At 42.5% G+C, this 18640-nt stretch overlaps 1 protein-coding gene across 11 annotated transcripts in view, besides 3 other annotated features; it reads left to right on the top strand.

Annotated features, from left to right (window-relative positions):
* Positions 1-18640, top strand: part of OSBPL10 (oxysterol binding protein like 10) — a 416868-nt gene that overhangs the window by 114308 nt on the left and 283920 nt on the right. Inside the window, exon 1 of one of the 11 annotated variants that reach the window (XM_047447395.1) lies at positions 3018-3242. The exons of the other annotated variants lie outside the window; for them this stretch is intronic. The gene's annotated coding sequence lies outside the window, so the exon portion shown is untranslated. Of the gene's footprint in view, positions 1-3017; positions 3243-18640 lie in introns of those variants that run through there. 11 annotated transcript variants of the gene reach the window in all.
* Positions 10826-10875: an enhancer, noted in NCBI's record as "active region_19631". NCBI's record gives its function as "activates an Ori minimal core promoter by ATAC-STARR-seq in GM12878 lymphoblastoid cells {active_cell/tissue: GM12878}" and the evidence as "EXISTENCE:reporter gene assay evidence [ECO:0000049][PMID:35858748]".
* Positions 15855-16456: an enhancer, noted in NCBI's record as "H3K27ac-H3K4me1 hESC enhancer chr3:31988421-31989022 (GRCh37/hg19 assembly coordinates)". NCBI's record gives its function as "activates a minimal SCP1, AML or CMV promoter by ChIP-STARR-seq in primed H9 embryonic stem cells {active_cell/tissue: H9 hESC(primed)}" and the evidence as "EXISTENCE:reporter gene assay evidence [ECO:0000049][PMID:30033119]".
* Positions 16457-17059: an enhancer, noted in NCBI's record as "H3K4me1 hESC enhancer chr3:31987818-31988420 (GRCh37/hg19 assembly coordinates)". NCBI's record gives its function as "activates a minimal SCP1, AML or CMV promoter by ChIP-STARR-seq in primed H9 embryonic stem cells {active_cell/tissue: H9 hESC(primed)}" and the evidence as "EXISTENCE:reporter gene assay evidence [ECO:0000049][PMID:30033119]".

The raw sequence follows: 18640 nt of genomic DNA, 5'->3' as shown, positions 1-18640 counted from the left end.
ATGTCCTTGTTCTTGGAAAATACATAAATACATAAATATGAAATATTTAAGAATAAAGGGAGATGTCTACAACTCATTCTCAGATGGTTGAGGAAACACTTTATATAAGGAGAAGGGGATGGGAAAGGGAGGGAGATGGATGGATGTGGGTGGAGGGGAGGAAAGGAAGGAAGGACGGGGAAGGGAGAGAAGGGAGGGGAGAGATGGCTAGAGAGCATGATAAAGCAGATGTACGCAAACATCAATAATTTTTGAATCTGTGTGAAGGGAGATAGAGGAGTTCTTTGTCATATTCTTGCAACTCTTTGGTAAGTTTGAGTCATTTCAAAGTACACATTTAAAAAAACAGAAAACAAGGAAACACATGGCTCCTTTGAGAAACAGGAGTCACACCACTTCCTGTAATATTATTTGAAATTGCCACAAAAGTGAAGTCTTTTGATTGAAAGCAAGTCATTGTATTGCAAGATCCAGGAGATCAGGCATTAGACCTAAGTTCTGGCACAGTGCCTGGCGCATAGTAGGTACTCAATATTTGTTTAGTGAATGCTATCAAAGCAGCAGTGATTTTGGCATTGGCTTTTCCCATTTGTGCATTTACCTTGCACCCAAGTGATTTGGATTTGCTCCCCTAGACAAGACTTTATGTGCTCCTGTGGTCTTTGTGAAAACAGCCAAATGGAAAAGTTTTGTCTCAGGGAGCTTGCGTTACAACTTAGTGTAATGGGAGCGATTGAAACCCTAACTGTACATTTCTTGCGGGTAAAAGCCCCCTGGAATCAGGCAGAGTATTTATGGCACTTCTCCTGTGCTGGTTCCCATTTAAAGATGGTGAAATCTCAAAAAAAAAAATAGTGTTTCATTACTTTTATAATATGTAGAACATATAGTTTACCATTTTAACCATTTGTAAGTGTACAGTTTGGTGGCATAAGTATATTCATACTGTTGTGAAACCAATACCACTTTTCATGTCCGGTACTTTTTTATCATCCCAAATTGAAACTATACCCATGAAATAACTTTATTGTTGTTATTTGCTTAGAAAATCATTTATTCAACAGAATTATAGTTGTTATCTGTGTTAATAGTAGGCTACAGGACCTCGAATCCAAAATTGGTGATGCCGGCCAGGCGCGGTGGCTCCCACCTGTAATCCCAGCATTTTGGGAGGCCAAGGTGGGCAGATCACCTGAGGTCAGGAGTTCAAGACCAGCCTGGCCAACGTGATGAAACCCCATCTCTACTAAAAATACAAAAAAATTAGCTGGGCGTGGTGGTGGGCATCTGTAATCCCAGCTACCCAGGAGGCTGAGGCAGGTGAATTGCTTGAGCCTAGGAGGCAGAGGTTGCAGTGAGCTGAGATCACACCACTGCACTCCAGCCTGGGCGACAGAGCGAGACTCCGTCTCAAAAAATAAAAATAAAAAAAAGCAACCCTCCCCTCTGCCAAAAAAAACTCTTAAAAAAAAAAAAACCAAAACAAAACTGGTGATGCCAAAATTAGAGAACTTATTTAAATGTAATTAATAGCAATTATCTTGAAAGGGAACCTTTAGAAATATAACAGGAACATCTGCTGGTGTACATTAATTAATTTCTGTAAAGATTATAATTATACACTAGAATATATGCCATTTAAAATGAAATTTAATACTCAGGAGGCTGAGATGGGAGGATGGCTTGAGCCCAGGAGTTCAAGGCTGCAGTGAGCTATGATTGCACCACTGCACTCCAGCCTAGGAAATAGAGTGAGACCCTGTCTCTAAAAAATAAATAAATAAAATACAAATGTCAAAAGACACCAATAATTAGCCCAGCCCCCTCCCAGCATTATTAGCATTATTAACATTATTAACACACACACTCTCTAAATAGAGCAGTTTTAGGCTCCCAGCAAAATTGGAAATATAGAGTTCCCATGTCTCCCCTACTCCAACACATGCACAGCCTTTTTAATGATACTTTACATTTTAAAAATAGTATCTGTCTACTAAAATAAAATCAGAGACGCTAGCTTTCCGAGCCCTGGGAGCTCACTTTTCTCCTGAAGCCTTCCCTGGCTTCCTGGGCACTGCAGATCCCTCAAATTTAGGTTCTACCACCACATTCTTGTTTGGTGACTCGTGATCTAGCCTCACCCACAAGGACAGTACAGGGCTCGTGTTTGCTTAGGTGGTGCTCCATATTTGATTGTTGAGCCAAAGAGTGGGTTTGGAGAGCTTCAGAACTTGATTTGTTATAGAATAGCTTCATTCTTTATGGAGTGGGTTGCACATGAAGAATATTTGATGTAGAATGGCTCTGGCAAGTTAAAAAAAAAAAAAAAAAAAAAAAGGCTGTAGCTTCTTGGTTAAACATTGACAGAAGGAGGTCCCTTGGGGAATTTGTGAGCTGCTAGGTGGTTTACACCATTTTTTGGGCAGCTTTGAGGTTCAAGCAGTTTGGTTTTAACCCTTTGTAGGTCAGGTTTTTAGACCTTGTAATCTATTTTCCCTTTTAAAGGAGGAATAAGGATTAAAGAGGATAAAGAGGATGGTTTTTCTGTAAGAGAGAGTGCTGGTAATTCTCTCCTGGTGGTGAGCATTTGTAGGGTGGGGTAGGGGCACAGATGGCACATGGCTGATGGCCTTGAGGGAGAAGTGGGTTGCACAGTCTCTTGCAACAGTTTCCAGAGTGGGGAAGGTTCAGAGATGCTCTTCTGGTTTCTGAGCTTGTGAAGAGAGAGACGTAGAGGAGAAAGGGTTAACTTCCATTTTTACTTGGAAATGGATAGTTTAAGCTGGGGAGGGCCTGTGTTATGTAAACTAGCTTGCAACCTTCTGGTGTCCATTTTAGCCTTGCTTTCTCATTTAGGTCAATTGGATCTGAATAAGGAATTTGGCCAGACAACAAAATATTTAAACTGGTTCCCCTATTGCATCTCATTTCCACAGTCTGTTTATAATCCTAATTGATGCAAATGCCCTTGTTATTGTGAATGTGAATACCCTGAATGCAGGGTTCTGGTTTGTTTCATTTCACATTGTATTACTGAACGTGGTGAGGGAAGCTGAGGGTCTGAGTGACAAGCGGAGTGTGGCTGGATCCAGCCTTATTTTGAAGGATTCCTTTGGCACCCAGGGGCCCAGGGATGAGGTGCTGTTTTGGGAGGCTGGTAAAAGTTCAGAAGCGATCTCTGAGACTCCCTATCTGCCAGATTCCCAGACTGTGAGCTGCTTCAAGATCAGGGAAGTTTTTCGGTACGTAATTTCTTAAGCACTCAGCAAAGTGCTAAGATAGTCTTCCCTGCCTCAGGGAGTTTGGAAGGACATTTTTCCATGGAGTACATCAGACCTAAGAGGGAGAGTTTTGTTTTTCTTCACTGATAGGCAACTTTCATTTTCTGCATTTGAGAGAACCTGATTTTAAGTAGCACAGTGGCCACGTCACAATCCAGGAATAATTTTGGCATTTTTCCTGTATCCTTTTTCTGCAAGTGTTTTTCACAATAAACCAAAATAACCTAGTCAAGGGGAGAGGGAGGCTAACATTTTCTTTCATGGAGCATTATTCTGAGGCTTGAAGGTGCTCAGGTGAACTTGCCCAAGTTCTGTTTTACAGGTGAGGAAACTGCCTCAAATAGATGACATTTAATTCAAAGTTACACACGGAGTTTGTCGCTGAGTTAGAACAAGAAACAGAATATGCTTCTCAGTCAGTTTTGGAAAAACTCCAGAAAGGTGATGCTAAAAATGGTCTTTTTGCCTTGTGTTTTGTTATATAGCAAAGAATACCCGCTGGCTTCTCATTATCTAGCTGATGCCCTGAGACTCATCTGATGTTCTGGCTTATGTATTAGCTGCTTTGAGTGATGGCGAAAACTTCAAAATGTGCAGAGAGCTCTTCCTTGAACCCAGTGATCCTGGGGTATTAACAGATTGTGTTTGGGATATCTTATCTCTGAGTCTCATGCTAATTTCCTCTGATATATAGCAAAAAGACTGGGTTTAACAGTAGTTTTCAGTAGACAAAGTTGCTTTTATTTTATTTTCCAGGTTATGAATACAGAACTGGCCTTTAGGACTGCTTCTGATCTATCAGTAGATAGTACACTGTTTATAGTGCTGCAAAAAGAGAAGGTGGACTTGTAAATTCAGGAAGGGACCTGGCTAAATTTGATTAGACTGCATTAAAAATTTGAGACTTTTCTCTGTGAGCCGATATCTCGTAGCATTTCTTTAGGACAGAGCACTCTTTAATTGAGAGTTGTTCTTGCCTGGACCTTGGCTTGTTGGCAAATGCAGCATGTGTGATTCCATTGCGTGCGTCTCCACTCTTGAACTGCTACTTTGGATCACAATTACTGGAAGTGTCTTCTAGGGCCCTGACCCTTTAGAGATGACATTTGACCTTTGGGAGTCTCTTCCATGGTGCATTAATGAGTTTCCCATGTGCTGGAGTGCTTACTCTTTGGTTTAGTACAGGGGTTAGAAAGGTTTTTTTGTAAAGAGTCAGATAGTAAATAATTCAACTCTGCCATGGCAGCATAAAAGCAGCCCTAGGCAATATGTAAACAAATAGACATGGCTCTGTTCCAATAAAACCTTATTTGCTAAAATAAGTGGTGGGCTGGATTTGGCTCAAAGGCCTGTTCTCTAGTTTAGAGGCTTTTGGAACACAAAGCCGAAACACCCTTGGCTCTTGTGTGAGAGAGAGAAGAATCCAGTATTCAGAACATAAACATCTCAGTTGAAATGTAGCATCCATGGTGAGAAAGATGCTTTGTGTTATTGAAAAGTTGACATAACAAATATAAAGACTTTTTTTGGGAAAAAAATGGGCCCTTGTCCTCCCATCCTAATACAACTGTTACTGATTTTTGTGCATTTCTTTTGAGTCTTGTCCTCCTGCATATGTACCTCTGTGAAGTCCTGATGTGCGCAATACCAGTTGATATTATTAAAAAGCATAACACACCATATATCTGACAGTTGTTACTACATTGGATCTAGTGAGGCCTAAAACATACAAACTAGATTTGTCAGAGAAGATATTTTTAAGGACTAATTTGTGAGGTGTACTGTCATTTTGTGCATTTTTAACTTTTTTCAATTGCAAGAGTAATACTTCACTCATTATTTACTTCAGCCCTAAATATTAGTAGAAATCAGGCCAGAGCTAAAGTAAATCAGGTAATTGGCTATTCAGGGGCTGAAAGATGTTTAGTGGCAAAGTCACGCTTTAGCTCTAAGTTAACATTGTGGTCACAAGGGTATTCTGGTGGCCCGAGAGTTACTGCACCCCTCCTTGCAAATGGCTACAAAGGCTAAGACATAGCACACGTTTAATTTTTTTCTTCCTTCTTAGCTGGTGCACACACAATAAACCAAGAAACAAATGACCATACTTCAGTGTCACTCTATACAATGTGACTTTAAAGATGCATTTTTAAAAACAGGAATCTGGCCGGGTGCGGTGGCTCACGCCTGTAATCCTAGCACTTTGGGAGGCTGAGGTGGGCAGATCACGAGGTCAGGGGTTTAAGATCAGCCTGGCCAACATGGTGAAACCCCCCCTCTACTAAAAATACAAAAATTAGTCAGGCGTGGTGGCATGTGCCTGTAATCCCAGCTATTTAGGAGGCTGAGGCAGGAGAATTGCTTGAACCCCGGAGACGGAGGTTGCAGTGAGCCGAGATTGCACCACTGCACTCCAGCCAGGGCGACAGAGCAAGACTCCTCAAAAAACAAACAAACCAAAACAAACAAACAAAAACAAACCAATAACAACAAAAAACCCCAGGAATCTCCAAGTACATATCTCCACGAATGGCAAGGTTCTTTTTCACAACAGTGCTGCCATTGCTCAAAATATTTCAAGGCTCCTTTTCTGGAATTGCCTTCAGAATAAGTTATAAGCCACAGTAGAGTAGAGGTCTGCCTGCTTCATAGTCTTTTCTCATTTTTGACTAAAAATGGTGTTCGCCAGTGCAGTTCCCTTGCCTCAGCTGCCACTGTGGCTCTGGGTTGCTTTCAGCTGTTTCCAGATCTCATAACTGTGCTCAGGGGAGATGGATTTATCGTAACTGAGTCAAAGGTTGTGGGTAATGACAATAAGTCAGGAGTCTCTGTGGTTATTTCTTTGGAAAGAACAAAAATATTTATGTGTCAGTTGTGATAGTTAAAAAAACAAAAAGTTCTGCCTTTGTACATCCCTGGATCACCATGCCAACATGATTTTATTTATTTTTATTTATTTTTTATTTTTTGAGACAGGGCCTCACTCTGTCGCCCAGGCTGGAGTGCAGTGGCACAGTCTTGGCCCACTGCACCCTCTGCCTCCCGGGCTCAGGTGATCCTCCCACTTCAGTTTCCTGAATAGCTGGGACCACAGGTGTGTACCACCACATCCAGATAACTTTTTTGTATTTTTTATAGAGATGGGGTTTCACCATGTTGCCCAGGCTGGTCTTGAACTTCTGGACTCAAGCAATCTGCCCACCTCAGGCTCCCAAAGTACTGAGATTACAGGCTTGAGCCACCACACCCGGCCCAATGTGGCTTTTGAATGAGATCATTCCTTCACCAAGCAGCATCCAAGATTGACATGCTGTATCCCAAATCCTACTCTAGGGAGCAAGGCCAGGGTCCATGAAAGGCCCCCTTTTTTTTTTTGAGACGGAGTTTCGCTCTTGTCGCCCAGGTTGGAGTGCAATGGCGCAATCTCGGCTCAGTGCAACCTCCACCTCCCAGGTTCAGGTGATTCTCCTGCCTCAGTCTCCTGAGTGGCTGGGAATACAGGTGCCCGCCACCAAGCCCAGCTAATTTTTTTTTGTTTTGTATTTTTAGTAGAGACAGGGTTTCGCCATGTTGGCCAGGCTGGTCTTGAATTCCTGACCTCAGGTGATCCAGCTGCCTCGGCCTCCCAAAATGCTGGGATTACAGGGGTGAGCCACCATGCCCGGCCAAAAGGCCATCATTTTTATGTGCTCTGTTGTCCCTCTTACCTGGAACATTTGGAAAGCTTTGCTCAGTTTGCTTTTCTGGGAGACCCTGCACATACTGATATTAATAGAACCTGATGGACTGTAGGATGTCCCCTCAACTCTCCTTGTCCTCCTTTGCCCTCCCTCTAATGTGGAAAGTGGGACTCTCCTGTACTAAAGAGTTTTACTCTCTAGCAGGCATTTATATAGGCTCAAAATGTGGGAGGCAGGATCAGAGCCATTTAGAAGGGTTGCTGTTTAGGATATTAGTTACAAACAGTAGATTCCTTCTAAGCAGTCTAAGTAGCCAGGGATTTATTAGAGGGTTTTGCAGTGTTTCTGGGAGAACCAAGATCAATGCTACATGTTTAGGAACAACACAGCCTGTCTCTAACCAATTCCCATCTATAGCATGGATATAACCCACTTCTGCCTTAGGGCTGGTGACACTAGAGGCCAAACTTCATAACATCTGCTATAACTGCTCCAAGGAATCAAATACACTTGTCACCATCTGACCAGAAGTTCTGACCTTCTGGTTTGTGGCTACTGCCTCCTGTTGTTCCCCTCTCACTCTCAGATCTTGCATGAGTGTGTCTGCTTAGAAGAATCTAGCTGCAAGGGAGTCAGTGAAATGTAGCTTATAGTTTTCTAGCTTCTGTAGACTAGAAGCTGGGCTGGAAAGCTGCTAGATGGCACTGAATGAGCTGCTTTGCATTATTTGTTATTAAGAGCATGTGCATGGAGATGATGGCTAAATCCCTGGTGGGTAAATTCTCCTTGTGGCAAAAAGAAAAGAGGGAAGAGGATTGAGTGTAGGAGACCCCACAGGGCTTTTGGGAGAATGAAGCGACAGGGAGTCAGTGCAAGTGCCAATGCTGTTACCAAGAGGGTGGCTTCCTACTGCATGATAGGTGGCATTGCTGGGTAGCTGTGGCTGCAGTGCCATGCCTGAGCCTTTGGCACAGTCCTGACCTTTGCAAGAGGGAAGCAGTGTTGGGCTCATATGGTTCTTTTTCTATTGAGGTTGGTAGAGCTGGTTTCAAATTCTAGCCTCGGATAAGTTCCTGCACCATTCTGAGTTTCAGTTTGCTTATCTATAAAATGATGATATGCCTACCTTGCAGGGAAGTTGTGATGGTAAGACCAGATGGCATATGAGTGTCTAGCATATACCTCTGGTGTATAGTAGTGGTTCAACAAATTATTACTGTATTACTGTTATCTTCAATTTTGTCATCTTTCCTTTTTTCTTTTGTCTGAGCAGCTCACGCTGCATTAAACCCCAGTGGATGCCTGGATGCCAGTAGCTTCTATGATTTTTTCTTAGCAATTAGCTTACCTTATCCACCCATCTACCTTCTATGTGGCTAACTGCCCCCTCCCTCATTTTATTATGAAAAATTTCAAATATACAGAAATGTTGAAAGAATTGTACAGTAAACACACAAGTATCTACCACCTGGATTCTACAACTGACATTTTATTATACCTAGTTTTTTACATGTCTGTCCATCTGTCTCATCCATAGATCCATTTTATTTCTTTATACATTTCAGAGCAAACTGCTGACATTAGTATAGTCATAAATATTTTAGCATGCATGTCATTAACACATATCATTAACAATATTTGTTTTCAATTATTTCTCTTGATGTAAAATTTCACAATGAAATGCACAAATCCTAAGTGTACATTGCTAAGTTTTGACAACTGCATGCATTTTTACCCAACCTCTGTCAAGGCATAGAACATTACCATCTCCCCAGAAGCTTCTGTTGTGTCTCTTGCTCCTCCCCACTCCAGGCAACCACCATCCTTCCCCCTGCCCCCAATATAGATTGGTTTTTGCCTACTCTAGCATTTCATATAAATGGAATCACACAATATATACTTACTGTGTCTGGCTTCCTCTAGTCAGCATAACATTTTGGGATTCATTTATGTCGTTGTGTCTTATCAGTCGTGGATTCCTTTTTATTGCTGAGACGGCTAGCTTTAAAATTATGCCTGATTGCTGCAAGTAGAAAGAACCAGAAGCCCTCCTCATGGAACTTGGGATTGTTGCTTCTTTTTCCTTTCCAGCCTAGTGTTAGCAATGCACAAAGGCTCTTTGTAGAGGATTAGAGTTGAGGGGCTTAGAGGCCATTTAATTCAGTACCTCCTCCAGGCCTGTGGCATCTTGGCCAGGCAGCCATCTTTCTGACCCCTTTTTCTTCCCTCTTGGGACTGGTGTTAATGGGAATTCATGTGCAGAAGGAGCAAATGGGCCAATGCACGGGCACCTCACACATTTAATTGTTCTAGGGTTAAAGGATGAACCCAGACTTCTCTTAATGATTTTTGTTGTTGAGGATTTTGACATGCTTTGTGCATGCTAGAAATTATAGGACCAGTCAGCTGCAACAACTGGAGCTGGAAACAAGTTCCTATTTAGCTTTGATGTTAAGGAATCAACCACAGCACTGAAGCTGCTGAACTCTCTGATGGAAAAAGGCGTCATTCTGTTGCCTCTTGCCCCAGTTCCTTCTCTCCTCCTCTTTCATTTCTCTGTCTCTGTCTCTCTGTCACACACACTCCTCACATACACATAGAGCTTTTGAACATCTTCACGTATGGTGACTTGTCTGAAAGTTTAGCTGTCTCTTTTTTGAAGAAAATTGACATGATTGAGAGGGAGAAGGAAAAGGGTTAATGAAGAATGGCCATTGTGGCCAGGTGTGGTGGCTCACACTTGTCATTCCAGCACTTTGGGAGACTGAGGCTGGCAGATTGCTTGAGCCCAGGAGCTTGAGATCAGCCTGGGAAACATGGTAAAACCGTCTTTACAAAAAATACAAAAATTAGCCAGGTGTGGTGGCATGCATCTGTAGTCCCAGTTACTTAGGAGGCTGAGGTGGGAGGATTGCTTGAGCCCAGGAGGCTGAGGCTGCAGTGAGCTGTGATCAAGCCACTGCACTCCAGTCTAGACCCTGTCCTCAACAGCAACAACAACAACAACAGAATCACTTCTGCTTGGTAAGGGGGAAGCAGTGCCCACTCTTTGTGTGTGTGGGGGTATTAAATAATATAATGTGTGGCAACTGAGTGTTGGACACAGCAAGGCTCTGCAGATGTTATTTCCTGCCTTGCTTCTGTCCCGTGGAGAGGTTCTGAAACCTTTCTGCATATTAAAAGTATCTGAGGACCGGGCGCGCTGGCTCACGCCTGTAATCTCAGCACTTTGGGAGGTTGAGGTGGATGGATCACGAGGTCAGGAGTTCAAGACCAGCCTGGCCAAGATGGTGAGACCCCCGTCTCTACTAAAAATACAAAAAAATTAGCCAGGCATGGTGGTGGGCGCCTGTAATCCCAGCTACTCAGGAGGCTGAGGCGGAGCATTGCTTGAACCCTGGAGGCGGAGGTTGCAGTGAGCCGAGATTGCACCATTGCACTCCAGCCTGGGCTACAGAATGAGACTCCGTCTCAAAAAAAAAAAAAAAAAAAAAGTAGGAAGATTTTACAAAAATTTCATCACCAGATCCCATCCTGGACCAGTTGAACCAGAATATAGGACCCTTCCCCGACAGCCACAGTTTAAAGTCACTGATTAGTACCTGAGAGAATCATCTTCACACATATTATCACCACTAATTCTAATAACCACACAAGGCGGGCAGGTTTTAGTAATATTTAATATTTAGTAATATCAGAGCCAACTGATGTTGGGGGGACATTCTAACACAGGTCAGTCTGATTCCAAGTGCCACATCCTTCCTACTATTCTGTGTTCCCTCTGATCCTTTCGTGTGAATGGATTTTACATAGTAGTATGATCATCCCTTCATTCAGTTGTTGATTCCTTCTCATTGCTCCCCATGCTGTGCCTGAAGGTACAGTGGGGACTATTGTAGATGGGTTCCTGCCCCAAGTTGCTGGTGGGCTAGGAAGAAGATGCACAGCAGTGGTTGAACTGCAGCATGCAAAGTGCTCTCACGGAGCGTGACGAGGGATACGCCTGGATGTAGGGTGGGGAACTCTTTTGGAGGAAGTGCCACCTGGTTAAGATCTAGGGTGAGAGAGGAAACATGACTCTTGAAGGGAAGTGAAAGAAGCTCAGAAGGTGAAAACAAGAAAAGAACCTGGACAAACAGATGAATTTATCACTTGAATAGTTTTGCCTCACTGAAGAAAACATATTTCTTAATCCACCTAATGTGTACTAAGGCATGGCTTTCCACTTTGCACCAGGATTCTTTATTTGCATTTGCAAAATAAAACAAAATGCTTTATCGTAGGTTTTCTATAAATTCCAAATTTCATTGAATTTAAGAGTCTTTTGTTTAATATGACTATATGTTAACATGTAAATAAGTTTGTCTTTAGAGCTAACAAATCCTAATAAACAATACTCATTTCCCACCACTCATGGAAGGCACAGATTATAGTAGGAGTTCTGTAAGAGTTGCACACTAATGGAGTTTTAGGCAGGGATTCTTGAATCTTGTGAATTATATCTAATTTTTTTCTTCGCTGGTGGAAATCTTAAGAGTATAGCACGGTGTTAAAGCATGGGTTTTAAAGTTAATGAAAAGCTTAGTTTGTCACTTTCACTTAACTGGATGTGTAAAGTTATCCTACCTTTTTAACTCTCAGTTTCTTCATCAGTAAAATGGGAATAATAATAAATACTCCATATAATTTAAATATATAATTATATAGTTTAAATTAACATTTATATATTAGTTTCTATTTTTATAATTGTATACAATCATAGAATAAATGATCTAAATAGCTTTTTTCTAATATTTGAAAAATATAATTGATTTATATTAAAGAATATATGCAATCATATATGTAACAGAGCATAAGAAAATGAACAGGCATGAGCTCACCATTCACTCTAGGAAGGATAATATAACCACTAGTAGCTCATCTGCCCAAGTATTCTTCTTCAACTCAATCCTTTCCTCCCCTCTTTTAGGTAACCACTAACTCTTGAGTTTCAAGTTCATCATTCCTTCACCTTTGTATAATATAAAGTATTTTTATAATAGATATTTTACAAAAATAATGTGTGTTATCTCTCTGTATTATTTAGTTTTGTTTCTCAGTTTTATATTTTTAAAAGGATGTTGTATATAGTTTTCTGCAAGTCTTTTTTTTTTCCCGTTTTGTTTCCAAAATTGATTCCCGTTATTGTGTCTAACTTCAGTGCATTTCTTTTCAATGCTGTATAACATTCTTTGTGTGACTATGTCACAAATTTTTTATCCTGGTGATGGGTATTTAGGTTGTTCACCATTTCTTCCTCTGTGAACGGTGTTACTGCTGTGTGTAAGTTAGTATGTATCTCCCAGTACACACACGCAAGAATTTCCTTGTGATGTTGATGTAGAAGTTGAATTGTTGGTGTGTTAGTCCGTTTTGCATTGCTATAAAGGAATATCTGAGACTGGGTAATTTATAAAGAAAAGAGGTTTATTTGGCTCATGGTTGTGAAGACTGTACAGGCATGGCACCAGCATCTTGGCTTCTGGTGAGGCTTCAGGGAACTTTTACTCAAGATGGAAAGTGGAGGGAGCAGGCATGTCACATGGCGAGAGGGAGCAAGAGAGAGAGGAGGAGATGCTAGGCTCCTTTAAACAACCAGCTCTAACAGAGCTAACTGGTAAACTAACAGAACTAACAGAGTGAGAACTCACTTATTACCATAGGGAGGGCACCAAGCCATTTGTGAGGGATCTGCCCCCATGACCCAAGTGCCTCCCCTTAGGCTCCACCTCCAACATTGGGGATCACATTTCAGCCTGAGATTTGGAGAGGTCAGATATCCAAACTATATCCACTGGGCTTCAGGGTATTTGGATGTTCCATTTTATAAGATGATGTTAAGTTGTTTTCTAAAGTGGATGTGCCAGTTTAATGCCATCCAGTAGGGTATAAGCATTTGCATTGTTCTGCACCTTTTCTAGTTTTTGATATAGTAAGAATTCTTAATTTTGCCAAGCCAGTAGGTATACATGATATCTCATTGGTATCTTAATTTGTGTATCTCTGATTATCAGAAAGACAGCAGCTCTTCATGTGCTTAAGGGTCATTCTTTCTTCCTCTTTTATGAAATTCCAGCTTGGGTCTTTTGCTCAGTTATTTATTAGGTTGTCTTTTTTGCATTGGTTTGTAGGAGTGCTTTATATATTCTGCATACTTATCCTTTGTTGGATCTATGTTGCAAATATCTCCTTTTAGTTCATAGCTTGGCTTTTTACTTTATTTGTGATGCTTTTGAAAAACAAGTTCTTACTTCTTTTCCATATTCTCTTAATTATGCTGCCCACTGCTCAGTTTACTGGCAGAAACAGTCATCCCTCCTGACAGGCCCTTTTCGGATACCCTGGAAGCTAATACAAGCCTACATAAGTAGGATTTCCACCGAGACCTACTTTAAAAAATTTTTGCCAACTCTCAGATTGCTACTTCAACCCACTGCATAACTGACAACTAAAATTTTTCATTGAGAGCAGCTTCTAGCTCTGATCCAAACCAAGTCAGTCCATAGGTGGGACCTCAGGTCAGGAGGTTCTTAATGTGGTAGAATATGAGTATTTTCTTTTCTAGTTAACTAAAGAGATATTCTCTTATATTTTCTGCTGAAAGTTTCAGAAGTTACCTCTCTCAATTAAGGCTTTAATCTGTCTGGACTTGTGTCTGTTCTGTGAGGTAGGAACCCAGTATCCTTTTTTTTTTTTTTTTTTTTTTTTTTTTTTTTTGAGACAGAGTCTTGCTCTGTTGCCCAGGCTGGAGTGCAGTGAGGTGATCTCAGCTCACTGCAAGCTCCACCTCCCGGGTTCACGTGATTCTCCTGCCTCAGCCTCCCAAGTAGCTGGGACTACAGGTGCCTGCCACCAAGCCCAGCTAATTTTTTGTATTTTTAGTAGAGACCGAGTTTCACCGTGTTAGCCAGGATGGTCTTGATCTCCTGACCTCGTGATCTGCCCGCCTCAGCCTCCCAAAGTGCTGGGATTACAGGCGTGAGCCACCGTGCCCAGCCGGAACCCAGTATCCTTTTATATTTCTTGTACTGCACAATTGTTCCATGAGAATGGAGAAGGATGTATGCATCCAACTACTTGCACAGTTTTAGGCACATGGAAGGTACTCTGAAAAGGTTAGCTGTTGCTATTTTAACTTGTCTCCTGTTTTTTCAGTTGATTGGTTCAATCCTTCCTGAAATAATATGTGTGTGCGTTTTAGGAATGACAATTGAGGCAGATTTGCATTGGGCTAAGAAACCAACCTAAAACTCCTCTTTCCCCAACTTCCCCTTAGTATTGTTAGAAGCTTGATCTGTAAGTTTAATCACAGAGTAAATAATAAATAATGAGTTAATTGATTTGACCATTTATTTCCTTTGGACTTGGCTGGTAATTAAGGAATTTCTCTGGCACCTTACCAAACACCTGCTCCCTTTTCTCTGAATAATCAAATAGTCTTTTATTACAAAGTTAATTTCGCTACTCTGGAATTTACTTATTTGGCCCTGCATTACCATAGAGGTACTCTCTAACTCCATCATGGATGGTGGGGGCTCCAGCCATGATTCTGAAGTTCTCCTTAAGTCAATTCCTTCTTGAATGTCTTGGTCCAGATTGTACACACTGTACAGAAAACTTGATTTGGGGGCCTTTTCCAATTTCTTAGCTATGCTTTAGTGGAAAGGAAAGGCAAAGAAATACTTCTTGGAAAATTAAAACTGCTTAGCAACACTCCTGGGGTGCATTGAATGCACACGATGAAATCTGGAAAGTAAAACGTGAAACTTTATAAAGTCAGCATAAAAAGCACCATAAAAATTGGAGGAAAGTTGTTAGTTATATGACGGAGGATGACTGCCCGTTTATTGCTCGAGTGTGGTCGTGGAGATTCACTCTGAGGCTAAAGTGCTCTTAGGCAGAAGGTAGGTGGAACTGCAGGCTGCTGCTTGCAATAGGGAACAATAAACCCAGTTACTTGGGAGGTAAGCCTTCAGTCTGGGTTGTAAAATTATACTCCATGCTCAAGGCTTTTCAGAGGTGCTCAACCACCTTGTACAGATGAGTTTTTTAACTTCCTGGATGGTTTCCAGAGAGATGGAAAGATGAAAAGACTCATAATGATGAATGGCCCTTCCCTCTTTCCCTGCATGTATATTGTTCTGCTGGACTTCTAGAATGGACTCTGTCCATTGTGGATGTTGCTGGTGCCCTGCACAGATCCCCTTTACTGGGTCAGGGCACCCAGCCCTTGACTAATTGAGGGAGTTAGCTGCTAATACTTCATGCCTGTACCTTTCACTGGAAGATTCTGCCCTGCAGGGGAGGAACCCTCTAGCCTGGAGGTGACTGGGAGGTAACCTGCATCCTCCACTCTGGTGTGACCTTGTACCCAGTGACTGACATCACTTAGTGAAGTCAACGATTGGGAGTATCAAACCCAATCCCCTGCTTCCTGGCAGCACAAACTTTGTACAGTTTACTTCAGAGCTTTTTGTGGGATCAGACGGAGGCTGGGCTTATCTCAACTCCTATGCAGTTTCCCTCACCTTCTTCCAGTTTCTCCGGATCCTGAGAGCACTTCCTCAAGCACTCATTTGCATAGGAGTCGCCACATCAGGCTCTGCCTCCAGGGAATATGACCTAACACAGATTCTTTATCTATTTTTCTCCTCCAGCCTGTCATACTGTGCTCAGCGTGTGGAGTGTTTCCACAGGAGTCTTCCGTGATCTGTTAGGTTCTTTTGAGGGCTTGTTTCATGTGTTGGTCATCTTTAGACTTCCACCAAACCTCCCAACCCCATGCCCTGCCTGAGTACCTTCTCAGTGCTGTCGCAGGAATTGTGGAGTAGGGGAAGGTGGCATATGCAGAGGCCAAGAGGAGCTGGTAGGGGACTTCTGATGTTGGTGTAAGATCTGCCATTGGTAATTTGGACACTCGCTATAGGCAGGCAGAGGACAAAGCATGCTTCCGCCTTTGTGAGGAGGATAGCATTCCAATTTTTCAGCCTTAGTGATGCTGTGGGAACTGCTGTTCAGCTGAGTTGGGTGGAGGAATTGGCACCTCCAGCTTTGGTGATGTGCTGTGTGCTTAGGGACAGCCTGGGCCGAGGGTTGACCTTGTTCGTGCCTAGATCCAGAGCTGCTACACTTCTGCAGATGGGATCCTGGTCTCTATGTCTCCCCTACTCACCCTTACCTTCCAGTAACTGCTCCCCATCCTTTATTTTTTGTGTTGGCCCAGTGTTTCTGATGTCCACTGAGTTGTCAGAGCCTGAAATTTAGTGAATCATTCTGATTACTGCTGTGTCTCGTTCTCTAGTATCTAACCAGCCACTGAGGCATAGCTGCCTTTCTGGTCTGCTCCCTCCTGCCTTTGTCTCTTCTGATAACTGCTCGTCTCATTTGTCAGTATCTAACAGCCACTGAGCCGTAGCTGCCTCTCTGGTCTGCTCCTCCTGCCCTTGTCTTTGTTTCGATGCTCCTTGCATCTGGTCTGGACTCCCACGATCATCTTCTTAAGGCCTCCCTGAGCCCAAGCTCCTCTTCTTCTAGGCACCTCAACACCATCTCCATGGTAACTTTTCTAAAGCATGCAACACTAAAAACTCTTGGGTGACTTCCTGTGACCTCCAAAGGAAGTCTCAGCTCTGCTAGAATGGGACCAAAGCCCAGCTCCACCTTGAACTTGTGTCATAGCCTTGCTTCTTGTTCCCTCTCCTTAGCCGGGCAGATGCCTTGTCCTTTGATAAAGGCTTCCTGTCACCTCCTGAGGGCTCTTGTGCTTTTCGCAGGTGGATGCCATTACCTTTACCGCTGTGCCTCCCGCAATTGCTCTGTTCACACGCTGTCCGCCATCTGCCTGCAAGGGCCCAGGCAGGGTCTTACTCATCATTATGTCATTGCTTCAATAGAAGCCTAATATTTTGTACATAGTAGTCAGGAAGGAAACGACTTAAAAAATTCTTAATTTTTCTTAATACAAGGGTTTTTTTTTTTTTTGATAAAAAACAACTTAATAAAATTCTTAATTTTTCTTAAATTCTTAATTGATTTCTAATTTTTTTGTTATTATTGAAAAAGTAAAAAACTTGAGTTCCCCCTTTTCATTAAAAAACTTAGTAGTGGCTGGGTGCAGTGGCTCACGCCTATAATTTTAGCACTTGGGGAGGCTGAGGGGGGTGGATCACCTGAGATCAGGGGTTCGAGACCAGCTGGCCAACGTGGTGAAACCCTGTCTCTACTAAAAATACAAAAATTAGCCGGGCATGGTGGCACGTGCCTGTAATCCCAGCTACTCAGGAGGCTGAGGCAGGAGAATCACTTGAACCTGGGAGGCGGAGGTTGCAGTAAGCCGAGATCATGCCATTGCACTCCAGCCTGGGCAACAAGAGTGAAACCCATCTCAGAAAAAAAAAAGCATAAACCAAAACTTAGTAGTGTCTGTTGATTCAGGCAATCCCTAATGGCAAGAGGTTCTCTGAATTGAGTAATGCCTTAAGTAGTTTGGATTTTTTTAGTCATAATAGGATCTGCAGATGTTTGGCCAGTAACCCTATTTGTATGCATGATACGTTATTCGTACCAGACCAGGGGTCACAGGCTCAAATATTCTCCAGGTCTCAGGCTGTGTCACAGAAACAAGGGTGTCAGAAAAGCAGTATAAACCCCTCTGGTCAAGGGCTGCTGACCTCTGCTTTGGCATCCTGAGCGTCTGGAGAAGGTGGGAGCATGGAGACCTGAGAGTGCATCACATCTGACAGGGCAGCTGCTTCTCAGCTATGGCCTATGGTTGCCGTGTAGTGAATGGACCCCATGTTGAGATCCTTGGATATTGCAAGAGAAACTAGAGATGTAGATTTGTGTGAGAAGCTGTCTTAATTTTTAAAGATTGTCAACTGATTCAAAACAATTTTTAAAGCCAAAAATAAAAACAATGAACAAACCAAAGCCTGATTCTGGTCAAAGCAAGTGGGCTTGAGGGCTGGATCGTATGTCACTGACTGACTTTTGTTTTGAGGCTTCCGGTCCAGATAGTGTCCCTAGAGCATATTTGTGGTGACTTTGGGAGCCCCATGTCACTGGTGTTGACTTTGGGGACTGTAACTTTGGACCAGAGTCCTAGTGGCAGGAATTTGACGCCTTGTTTGCTGATGAGGGAGGGAATTTTAGGTAATTTTCTCCTCCCAAAATGACCCTGGCACCCCTTTTGTTAGCATGGCTTGTTCCTTCCTGTTTTTTTTTTTTTTTTTTTTTGAGACGGAGTCTTGCTCTGTCGCCAGGCTCGAGTGTAGTGGTGCAATCTTGGTTCACTGCAACCTCTGCCTCCCAGGTTCAAGTGATTCTCCTGCCGTGGCCTCCCGAGTAGCTGGGACTACACATGTGTGCCACCACGCCCAGCTAATTTTTGTATTTTTAGTAGAGACGGGGTTTCACTATGTTGGCCAGGATGGTCTCAATCTCTTGACCTCAGGATCTGCCCGCCTCAGCCTCCCAAAATGTTGGGATTACAGGCATAAGCCACTGTGCCTGGCCTTTTTTTTTTTTTTTTTTTTTTTTTTTTTTTTTTTTTAAAGAGAGGGGGTCTTGCTCTGTTGCCCAGTTTGGAATGTAGTGGTGCAATCATAGCTCACTGCAACCTTAACTCCTGTACCCACTCTT

The sequence above is a fragment of the Homo sapiens genome, chromosome 3 (genome assembly GCF_000001405.40).
Source record: "Homo sapiens chromosome 3, GRCh38.p14 Primary Assembly".
In the NCBI taxonomy this organism is placed as follows: Eukaryota; Metazoa; Chordata; class Mammalia; order Primates; family Hominidae; genus Homo; species Homo sapiens.
Note: the sequence above shows the minus strand (reverse complement) of the source record. Positions and strands in the feature narration are given on the sequence as shown.